The 12,313-nt window shown below is 35.8% G+C and overlaps 2 long non-coding RNA genes across 2 annotated transcripts in view; one reads left to right on the forward strand and one right to left on the reverse strand.

The window, feature by feature from the left end:
* Positions 1–328: 328 nt before the first annotated feature.
* Positions 329–9,843, forward strand: LOC124900956 (uncharacterized). Its single transcript, XR_007058724.1, has 2 exons — positions 329–6,056; positions 9,089–9,843. It is a non-coding gene; the product is annotated as an uncharacterized LOC124900956 (long non-coding RNA).
* Positions 7,283–12,313, reverse strand: part of LOC124900955 (uncharacterized) — a 37,880-nt gene continuing 32,849 nt past the window's right edge. The window contains exons 2-4 of the long non-coding RNA XR_007058723.1: positions 8,989–9,131; positions 8,848–8,878; positions 7,283–8,125 (exon numbers count right to left, since the gene is read on the reverse strand). This is a non-coding gene — a long non-coding RNA (uncharacterized LOC124900955). The remainder of the gene's footprint in view (positions 8,126–8,847; positions 8,879–8,988; positions 9,132–12,313) is intronic.

A 12,313-nucleotide genomic window follows, 5' to 3' on the forward strand; every position in this document is an offset into this window, starting at 1 on the left:
ATACTATGTTGAATAAGAGTGGTGAGGGTGGGCATCCTTGTGTTGTTCTAGTTGTTAGAGGAAAAGCTTTCAGGCTTTCCCCATTCAGTGTAAGGTTAGTTGTGGATTTGTCATAGATGGCCTTTATTATGTTGAGGTATTTTCCTTCTATACCTAATGTATTGAGAGTTTTTATTCTGAAGGGATGTTGGATTTTAACAAATGCCTTTTTTCTGCGTCTATTGAGACTATTATATGATCTCGCCCTTCATTCTATTGATGTGATGCATGATGTGAATTGATTTGCATATGTTGAATCATCCTTGCATTCTTGAGATAAATCCTACTTGATTATGATGTATCATCTTTTTAATGTGTTGTTGGATTCCTTTTACTAGTATTTAGTTGAAAATTTTTGCATGTATATTCATTAGGAATACCGGACTATAGTTTCATTTTTTTGTTGTGTCCTTGTTTGGTCTTGATATCAGGGTTATCCTGGCCTCATAGAATAAGTTAGAAAGAATGCTCTCTGCTTCAGTTTTTTTTGTTTTGTTTTTTGGAATAGTTTGAGGAAAATTCTTCTCTAAAGTTTTCAGTAGAATTTGATGGTGAAGCCATGTGTTCCTGGACTTTTATTTGTTGGGAGGGCTTTTATTACTGATTCAATCTTGTTACTGGTCTGTTCAGGTTTCCTATTTCTTCTTGGCTCAATCTCGGCAGGTTGTATGTGCCCAGGAATTTATCCGTTTCCTCCAGGTTTTGGAATTTATTGGCACATAGTTACTCGTAGTAGTCTCTAATGATCCTTTGTATTTCTGTGGTATTCACTGTGGTGTCTCATTTTTCACTTCTGATTTTATTTATTTATATCTTCTTTCTCTTTTTTTAAGTCTAGCTAATGACTTGTCAATTTTGTTTCTTTTCAAAAAGCCAACCTTGTTGTTTTGTTGATCTTTTGTATTTTTGTAGTCTCAATTTTATTTCTGCTCGAATCTTTATTGTTTCTTTTATTCTAGTAATTTTGGATTTTGCTTGTTATTGCTTTTCTAGTTTCTTGGATATATCATTAGGTTGTTTATTTAAAATATTTCTAGTTTTTTGATGTAGGCACTTATTGCTATAAACTTTCCTGTTAGTACCGCTTTTGCTGTATCCCATAGGTGTCAGTATGGTATGTTCTGTTTCTATTTCCATTTGTTTCGAGGAATTTTAAAATTTTATTCTTAATTTCTTCTTTTACCCATTGGTCATTCAGGAGCATGTTGTTTAATTTCCACCTATTTGTGTAGTTTCCAATGTTCCTCTTGTTATTAATGTCTAGTTTTATTCCATTGAGGTCAGATAAAATATTTAATATAATTTCAATTAAAAAATTTTAAGACTTGTTTTGTGTCCTAGTATATGGTCAGTCCTGCAGAATGTTTTATATGCTGATGGAAAAAGTGTATTCTTCAGCTGTTGTGTGAAATGTTCTGTAAATGTCTCTTAGGCCCATTTGTTATATGATACAATTTAAATCCAAATTTTTTGGTTGATTTTCTGTCTAAATGATCTGTCCAGTGCTGAGAGTGGAGTGTTGAAGTTCCCAACTGTCTTGTACTGGGGACTATCTCTTCCTTTAGATCCAATAATACTTGCCTTATATCTCTGGGTGTTCTAGTGTTGGATGCATATATACTTAAAATTGCTATAGTCTCTTGCTGAATCAATCCCTTTATTATTATATAATTTCCTTCTTTGTCTATTTTTACAGCCTTTGTCTTAAAATCTGTCTGATATAAATACAGTTACTCCCATTTATTTTTGGTTTCCATGGAATATCTTCTTCCAATCCTTCACTTTCTGTCTATGTGTGTCTTTACAGATGAGGCGAGTTTCTTAAAGGCAGTGTAGAGTTGGGTCTTGTTTTTTAAATTCATTCAGGCAGTCTATATCTTTTTTTTCCTTTTTAAACAATTTATTCTTTTATTTTTAAAATAGAGACAAGGTCTTACTATATTGCCCAGGCTGGTCTGGAACTCTTGGGCTCAAGCAATCCTTCCACTTTGGCCTCTGAGAATGCTAGGATTACAGGCATGGGCCACCATGCCAGACCATCTGTATATCTTTTAAATGGGAAATTTAATCTGTTTACATTCAAGGTTATTGTTGATACGTAAGGACTTACTCCTATCATTTTATTGATTATTTTCTGGTTGTTTTGTGTATCCCTTGTTCCTTATTTCCCCTCTTCTTGTTTATCTTTGTAGTTGGGCAGTTTTCTGTATTTATAAGGTTTGATTCCATTCTCTTTCTCTTTTGTGTATCTGTTTAAACAGTGAGTTTTATAGTTTTGCATGTTTTCATGATGGTAGTTACTGTCTTTTCACTTCCAGACATAAGACTTCCTTGAGCATTTATTGTAAGGCTGATCTAGTGGTAATGAATTCACGTAGTTTTTGCTTGTCTGTGGAATCTTTTGTTTCTGAAGAATAGCTTTGCTGGGTGTTATATTCTTGGTTAGCAGTTTTGTTTTATTACTTTGATTATATCATGTCACTCTAGTGTATTATACCATGCTCTATTCTGCCGCAGACTTTAGCAGAGGCTTAATTCTTTTTTTTTTAATTGAGAAAGTACCACTGTATCTCTGGGGTCTTTATCTGTAAGCACTAGTGAGTTATGAATGTTAAAATGAAATTAGAGTTACAGCCTTCATTTTCTTCTGAGAAGTCCATTATTAGTCAAATGTAGATTTTCTTATATGTGACTTGGCATCTTTTTCTTGCTGTTTTTAAAATTCTTTCCTGTTTTTGACGTTTGACAACTTGACTATAATGTTCTATGGTGAGGACCTTTTGGATTGAATATATTTTGGCTTCTTTGAGCTTCTTGAATCTGGATGCCCATCTGTCCCAACACCTGGGAAGCTTTTAGCTATTATTTCATTAAATATGTTTTCCTCACCTTTTCCCTTTGCCTTGCCATCAGGAATGCCCATAATATGAATATTTGTTTGCTTATTGATGTCCCGTAAATCCTGTAGGCTTTTAAAATTATTATTTTTTATTTTTTGTCTGCCAGTGTTATTCCAAAACACCTTTATTCAAGTTTAGAAATTATTTCTTCTGCTTGGTTTAGTCTGTTGTTGAAGCTCTCAGTTATATTTTTTATTTCACTCACAGAATTTTTCTGCTCTAGGATTTCTGTTTGGTTCTTTTTTATGATATCTATCTCTTTTCTGAACTTCTCATTCAAACATAAATTGTTTTGTGATTTCATTGAATTGTCTATCTGTATTCTATTTTATTTCACTCAATTTCTTTAAGATCATTATTTTGAATGCTTTTTTCTGGCATTTCATATATTTCCTTATGATTGGGGACTATTATTGGAGAATCATTGTTTTCCTTTGGAGGTGTCATATTTCTTTACTTTTCTATGCTTGATGTGTCCCTACGTTAATTTCTACACATCTGGTGGAAAAGTTGTTTCTTCACATTTTATGGAGTAAGTTTCATAGGAAAAGACTTATTCATGTGAATGGGTCTTGGGATGTCAGTTTGGTGAAGGGTGCATTGACCTTGGTTCTAGGTGGACACAGTAGTGTAGTGTTAGTGAAGTTTCTTTATCTGTAATCCACATTAGTGACATTTGTGAGTGTCTCAGTGGCTTAGGCTGAGAGAGTTTGTGGTGGCAGTGATGTGGCTTTGCTGGGTGTGTGCTTCCCAGGTTGCTTCTCAGGTTGGGGTGCATGTGTGCACATGGTGGGTCAATGAACTTGGGGTCTGGCTCATAGGGCTGTTATTCTGGCTTGGAGTATGCTATCCTTTGATGCACAAAAATTTTTAATTTTGATAGAGTCTAATTTACTTTTTTTTCTTTGCTTATACTTTTGTTGTCCTAGGAAATCAAATCCAAGGTCATAAAGATTTATTCCTATCCTTTCTTCTAAGAAATTTATAGTTTTAGCTCTTACATTTAGATCATTGATCCATTTTGAGTTAATGTTTATGTTAGTCTGTTCAGGCTGCATGAGAAAATACCATAGACTGGGTGACAAGCACCAGAACTTTATTTCTCACATTTGTGAAATCTGGGACATCTAAAATCAAGGGGCTAGCATGGTCAGTTTCTAGCTGGGACTCTCTTCTTGGCCTTCAGACAACTGTCTTCTCACTGTGTCCTCATAGTGAAGAGAGAGCTCTTTTGTATCCCCTCCAGTAAAGGCACTAATCCTATCAAAGGCCTTATCCTCATGAGTTCATCTAACTCTAATTGTCTCCCCCAAACCTCATCTCCAAATACCATTACATTGGTGTTATAACTTCAATATTTGAATTTTGAGGAGGACAGAAACATTCGTACTATGACGATTCTTGTGTCCTATTTGAGGTAACGGTCTGACTTCACTGTTATGTCATGTGGATTTCCAGTTGCCCCAGCACCATTTATGGAAGAGACTATTCTTTCCTTATTGAATGGTCTTGGCATCCTTGTTGAAAATAAATTTGATCATAGATGTTTGGATTTATTTCTGGATTCAAGATTTTATTCCATTGATCTATATGTCCATCTTTATGCTGGTATCATACCATTTTATTTACTGTAGCTTTATAGTAAGTTTTTAAACTTGGAAGTGTGAACACTTCAAACTTTGTCTTCAAGCTAATTTTGGTGATTTGGGTTCCATTATAATTTCATATGAATTTTAGGAACAGCTTTTCCATTTCTGCAAAAAATGGCTATTGGGATTTTTATATAGATTGTGTTGAATCTGTATGTTGCTTTGAGAAGTATTGCCATTCTAACAATATGAAGTCTTCCCGTCCATGAATATTGGGGTATTTTTCCATTTATTTAAATATTCTTTAATTTCTTTTGGCAATGTTTTGTAGTTTCATTGTACAAGTCTTGCATCATCTTTGTTAAATATATTCCTAACTATTTTATTCTTTTTGCTGCTACTATAAATGGAATTGTTTTCTTTTCTTTTTTTTTTTTTTTGAGATGGAGTCTTGCTCTGTCGCCCAGGCTGGAGTGCAGTGGCATGATCTTGGCTCACTGCAAGCTCCACCTCTTGGGTTCATGCCATTCTCCTGCCTCAGCCTCCCTAGTAGCTAGGACTACAGGTGCCTGCCACCATGCCCAGCTAATTTTTTTTTTTTTTTGTATTTTTAGTAGAGATGGTGTTTCACCATGTTAGCCAGGATGGTCTTGATCTCCTGACCTCATGATCTGCCCACCTCGGCCTCCCAAAGTTCTGGGATTACAGGTGTGAGCCACCACGCCCGGCCTGCTTTCTTAATTTCTTTTTTGGATTGTTCATTGCCAGTGTACAAAAACTTGTACTTTAAAGAAGGTTTTGGATGCACAAGAAAAGATGTGTGAATGAACATTTGTTAATATATTTTAGTTAAAATAAAAGTTTAAGTAAATATAATGTTTAATGAGTATCTTCTCTAAATCTAATGAGTATCTGATTCTCAATTAGCCAATCAACTACCCTAGTTGATCACATTTGAGAAGTCTATTATATATTTTAATAATTATGAGTATCTGATTCTCTATTAACCAATCAACTACCCTAATTGATCACATTTGAGAAGTCTATATTTTAATAATTTGCAGTTTCATAATACATTTATATATTTCAAAAATATAACCAACATATTAGTTAGAAATATTATATTTGTTACTATTGATATGATTTGACAATCAAAACTTTACTGGGTTAAATAATATTTACTTAGCTAAGAACTCACAAAGATGAATGACGGGAAACAACCTTTACCTGGAATTTACTGCTTTTGGTATTCAAATAAGATATGTTTCAAGTATTAACTGTGGTCTTCTCTTCCCTCGCAGGCTTGGAAAAGCACCAGATAGGAAGGGAAGAAGCTCAGGATCTGGGTTTAGGTTCTAACTCTGAACTTACCATCTATATGATGTCAGCTAAGTAGACCATTTTGTGATTCTGAGCTTCAGTTTTTCTCATCCACTAAATGGGGAAAAAAAACTGCTTTACAGAGTTCTAAGGATTAAATGGGACATCTTCTATGAAAATGCCTGGTACAAGGGAGGCCCTCAAGAAGGTAAGGGTGATTTTGAAAGATTTACCAAATTATGGTTATTTATTATTTCACCTATTTATTCCCTTAAGTTCAACTTTGGGACCAAAAATAAGTGTGCAAAATGCCTATGCTGTACATAAAGTATGTGCTGAACAAATACTGCTTTTTACATGATTAATGAGGGGTCAGTGTTCCTATTTTTGGCCATGTAACTTAGGAAAGTTAACTGGCCTAGAATAGAGACCAGGCCTCTGTCTTGGCTCCATTATTACTGCCCTCATAAATGGAGAAGATTAATGAAGTTTGTTCTGTGAAGGAAGAGGAGACTCTCTAGGATTTTGAGATATTTTCCTGTAGGCACTTGGCTTGTGTACATCAAAAGCCCTTCATAAACTTGCTACTTGTGAATGATTCTCAGATAATTCTAGGTTGGCTTTACCTGAAACATTTAATAACTTGTATATTTCTTTGTTACCCACCATCTTTTCAATACTACCCAGTCTTAGAACATAAAACCCAAACTGAAAGGGGAGCTCTTATTTTAATGTCTTCTTCATGGGTGAATTTTTGAACAGTTCTGCTATAATATGAAATATTATTTGAGCTTTTAGGATAAGAAAATATCTTTGGAAAGATCATGTGTGATTGAGGTAAGTTGTTCCAGTAAGATGTCTAGGACACAGTTCAGAAGGTGAAAATGTATACCATATGACATGTGAGTCTTACTAAATAGAAGGAATCCAGGAGCTTCAACAGATGGTTTGGTAAAGCAGGTTTCTTGGATGGAGCCAAAACCCCCAGGTAGTAGTCCAGCCTGTTTGATCAGAGAAATTGGAAATGGCTTAAAGAATGCCGTGCCTGGATGAATTGGTATGAGCCAAGAAGGACGTTTGAAAGAAATTAAATCTTGTTTGCATTGCTTGGAATTCCCATAAAAAATATACTGCTGGCAGAAGCATCAAGCTGCCATGTAACACAGATGAAGAAGATTTTCTTTACTGATAGTGCTTTTTAAACAAATATAATGAATGAAATGAACCTTGAGGAACTTAGCAAAAATTAAATGTGTGTCATTATGAATGGCTCTGACAGGGAAAATATAAACGATAAGCAATTCTATTTTCCCTGTTGGGTGCTATGTATCATCTCAAGTATAGAACAGAGTTGGCTTCTCTATGTCTTACTTCCCCTTCTGAAATTTTTCCCAACATCTGGATGGCAGCAGTTTGTGAACAAGATATCTCTTCTTTTTTTTTCCTTTTAATTACATTTATTTTAATGCTGAATTTACTCCCGTGCCATAAGTTTTTGTTTCTTCGGTTTCTTCTGGGATATCTTTTTCTTCTGGGCAACCTCCTCTTCTGGTTTAGGAACAATCTGTTCCTTTTCAGTAAGGATCATCTCAATGTGGCAGGGAAGGCTCATGTATGGGTTAATCGGAGCTCATGGTCGGATTAACCCATACAAGATATCTCTTCTTTTCCCCAGACTTAAGTAATGAACCCCATTCCCTCCTCTGAATAAGAAAACATGGACTTTATAAATGTTCGTTTTGTGATTTACTAATAAGTGGTGACAACACTGCATCTTCTAGTGACTAAAGGTGGGAACAGAACTGGAGAATAAATTGAATTGTCCAAGAAACTGAAGGTCAGAAACAATTATGAATTAATTTATATTATGGGATCAACCAGCAGTGGCTATAAAAGAAAGATTTGGGTTGACTGCCAACAATTCAGTTTAGAACTTATTTTTCATGGAAGAACACTTTGAAAATCAGAATAGTCTAGGCTACATTCTGTTAACTAACAACTCCAAAATCTCAGCAGTTTAAGACACACATAAAAGTTTTGTTTCTTGCATCCGTTACATAGTCACTCAAGGACCCAGTCTGATGAAGGCTTTACCACCTTACTAGCTGTGTACCATTTGAAGTATGTGACCTCCATTGCTGCAATAGAAGAGAGAATTGCAGATCTTTCACAGACAAAGGCTTTGGTGTTACTTCTACTCATAATCAGTTGGCCATTAGTACTCAGATGTCCCCATCTGCCTGCATGGGAGTAGAGAAATGTAATTCTTCTGTGTGTCTGGAAGGAGAAAGGAACCCATTTTAGAGAAGCTGTACTGTAGGAAAGAAGAAAATAAGAAAGAAGTGAAGACAAGAAAATGAGCATTTATTTTAAGATAAAGGACCTTTCAATGTCTTGCAGTTACCCTTGAGATTAGACCTAAACCAGTTACCCTGGTCTATATATCTGCACAAGACATGACCACTACCCACTCATCTCATTCTTCTCTTACCCTTGCCCACTCTGCTCCAGCCTTTGAACCTTATTTTTTTTCCTCACACACATCAAGCTTGTTCTTCCCTCGGGGACCTTGTGTTGACTTTCTTCTGCCTGAAATGTTCTCCCCTCAAATATTTGCATCTTTGTTATCTAGGACTCTGCTTCCTCAGAGAAGCCTTTTTCATCACGTAGCCTAAATGAAACACCTTTGCTAGCCTTTCCTTATCTATCCAGCTATTTTATTTTCATTCTAGTATTTACCATTGTCTGTTATCTTCATATTTGTTTGTCTCTTTTTTATTGTTTGTTTTCCTTCACTAGAATATGTTCCATGAGACTAGGGAGCTTGTTTATTTTGTTCAACATTGTATCCCTAGTACACAGTAGGCATTTAATAAATGTTTGTTAACTGAACAAATTTACAAATGGTTGAGCAGAATCCTATGGAGGCTAGAACCACCAGATGGTGTTCTAGGGTCTGTAAAAATAGGCATTTTCAACATGAACCTGATAAGTCATACCTGAAACCAAGAAAGAGAAGACATGGTGCCCCTAAGACCAAGAAGAAAAAAGGAGTTACCAAGCTTGGGTATGAAACAATAATAACAAATTCAATTATCTCAGGTGGCTAAGGAAAACTTTGGATTCAATGAATGACTTACATATTCACAAGTGTCTTATCAGCATATTGCTTCTACTTGATTGTGGTAGCCAGCTACTGAGATGAGCTCTAATAATCTTAGCCTTCTGTAATTCTTGTAGGTCTGTCATCCCTTACACTGAATCAGGACTGGCGTAGTGTGACCTGTGGAATACAGTAGAAGTAAAGATGTGTGACTCCCAAAGCTTGGTCATATAAGGCATTGCAGCTTCAGCCTTGCTCTCTTGGATCACTTACCCTGGAGAAAGTCATCTCCCATGCTCTGAGGATACTCAAGCAACTCTGTGGAGTGTTCCACATGGAGAGGAAGTGCCGAAGACCCGCACCAACTGGCCAAAAAAGTGAGTGGGTGACCTTGGAAGCAGATCTTCCAGCCCTACTAAAGCCTTCGGTTAACTGCAACCTCAAGAGAGACCCTGAGCCTGGATGGCTCAACTGATCAGCTTCTGAATTCCTGATTTACAGAAGCTATGAGAAATAAAAAGTGATTACTATTGTTTTAAGCTACAAAATTTGGGGATAATTTGTTACATAGCTATACTAACTGGAACACAGAGATTTCTTCAAATTTTCAAAAATTTTTTTACTCTCAGTGATGTTCATTGTCTTGGAATGAGAATGGGAAACATAGAGGTGGGAGATAGAAATTTAATGGCTTAGCCAGCCAAATGAACCACATCAACTCTGCCCATTGGTGGGGAGACAGATATTTCAGTCATATTGTCCATCATATATCCCTACTTTTTGTGGCCTTGCAAAATAACTAATAACCGTAAAGCTGTATCATCACAATGCAATAATAATAGGTTATTTCAGTAAAAAGTATGTCAAATTAAATGTTAGAAGTATGTCAACACAAGTGGCTGATTGAATGAATTTTTTACTTTAGAACTGATTATTTGGCCAAAACGTAGAAGGTTCTTGGGATCAAATTTTAAAGCTAAAAATACTAAACTACATTTTTTAGTCTGGGGAAGGGATCCCAGATTTATAATTTTATTTGGGTTTTCCTAAGTATAGTTTAAAACAAGTTTTGCTGCCTTTAATGGAACATGAAATTATGGATCAGGTGACAGGAACACAGTATGTTCCTTTTGGATTATAAACTGGAACTTCAGATGTCTTCCTTGAAGATTTTGAAAAACTGATCTATTATATATGTACATAAATACCTGGCCTTTGGCCTTCCTATGAAGTGATCTGCAAGTTCATAAAGTATTGTTCTGTTTCCAGGCTTCAGGGTATTAAAAATGTATATGTTCATTTGTTTGAAATTATCTGAAGCTCTGGGCTTCCCCATGCTCACCCTTGACTCTTTCCTTTTTGATATGTTCTGCATATCTTGGTGTATTTATGAACGACTTTTTAGATGTAAGTTTGAAGGAGGAGATTCTTTAATCTCTGTAGTTTTCATCAACAGAGTGCCATTTTCCCGGGAATTACTATTTTTCCCTATGGCCTTGAACATGGCTTGTTATTGAGTGGTCTAGTCTCCTGACCTGTTAGGCCATAGAATTAGAAAAACCCTTGTTTCCACTTTCATATTCCTTATATATAACATCTTAATGAAACCATTGTGGTTTATTTGCACAGAAGCTCCCTTGACTTCTCTTGGGAACCTGCTCTAATACTTTGTGGCTCTTGTTCATGAGAACATTCTTTTTCCTAATATCTGCTCTAAATGTTACCTTCCTTAGCTGAAGGCTTTCTGTCCCCCATTTTTTGAAACTACAAGTGATTCCCTTTCCTCACTGAAGACTAAACTTTATACCTAATGGCTAGAATGTCAAACAAACATTAATCTTGTCTCCTGCCTCTTTTCAGATGGAGGAATGCCCAAAAGCAATTTAGCTTTAGACAGCAGATGTATTTGTGTAGTGTTCTTTAACCTCTGATTCATTTTCTCAAATCATTTTGGGTTAAGCTTCACTTCTCAAAGATTCCAACAGCCTAAGGATCTACCTTGAAATTTCATAATCATTCCATACACCTACCTTTCGTTTTAAATTATGTCTCTCCCTTACATAAGCTACCTACTGTAAAAAGGATACTTATACATTTGCAAAAGACCATTTATTTGCCACAACAATACATGTATCAGGTTTGAAATTTTCTCTTCGTAGATAGGGCCTACTCTAAGACCACTTAATACGCAAAAAATTCATACTTTCCAAAGAGCTATGTAAGGGGCAATTGTTCACATCCAGGCAAACCTCCCCACTTTCCTCCACTCCAAACACATACACATGGGCCAGTCACACGGAAATTCCACCTTTAGGAATGTAGCCCTTAGGGATAAGTAGTTCAAGATTTTAATGTAGATCTTCTGGGAGGACACTGGAAATTCTTGATACTCTTGCTTCACACTTTTATTACCAAACTAAGTGGGGTGGGGGGTGGAATTTCAATATGAAGACCTGAAATTAGAATAAGCTAGTACTTTGAGCCAGCAATTATTTATTCTTTTTAATATGAATTAGTGTGATCTCTTCTTTATTGTTAAGATAGTTCATTGAAATATTATTTTTGAGCTAGTGAGGATTTCAATGAAAAGATGATAATTGGTCTTCTTCTGGGAAGAGGGCGGTGATGACTAGCACAAGACAATTTTCAAGTGAATGGGAAGGCTGACCAGTGAAAGACACTTTAACAAGGGGTTGGGGAGTGTTAGAAGGCAGAAGAATTGTATAGAAGAGCATCTGCCCTCCATCCCAACTTAAATCTGTTGCACTCTCTTTTATTCATGCACTAGAAAAATTCTTAAAGCTATGTTGAAGTTACTGAGTTGCTTGTCTGTTACCCCCAGTCAACTCTTTGAGGATAGAAAGAAGGATGCTGTGCTGTGGGGGGGGAATATGAATGAGATAACAGGAGCATAGAGGTCTGGAGGAATAAAAATATAAATAATTTCATACTACCAGCTACAGAAAGTAAAGCCAAATGACATTAGAATGAAATACCCCAATATCTAAGAAGATTTTCAATGATGCTGAAGGTAGCGTGTCAAAATATGGAGTACACTACACGAAGTTTTAAGCTCATTGAAATGGAGTGAAAAGGGTTGAGAAACATCGCTCCAGATGCTGGGATGCAAACCTCATGGAAGTGGAAAAAAAAGGAGTTAGATGGTCCAGAGAAGACCAAGTAAGTTCAAATGGTCTGTTGAAAGAAATGATAACAATGACAATGATTATGATGATGATCAATTTTTTAAATATACTTTAAGTTCTGGGATACATGTGCTGAACGTGTAGGTTTGTTACATAGATATACACGTGACATGATGGTTTGCTGTACCCATCAACCCGTCATCTACATTAGGTATT

The sequence above is a fragment of the Homo sapiens genome, chromosome 5, assembly GCF_000001405.40.
Source record: "Homo sapiens chromosome 5, GRCh38.p14 Primary Assembly".
NCBI classification, from domain to species: Eukaryota; Metazoa; Chordata; class Mammalia; order Primates; family Hominidae; genus Homo; species Homo sapiens.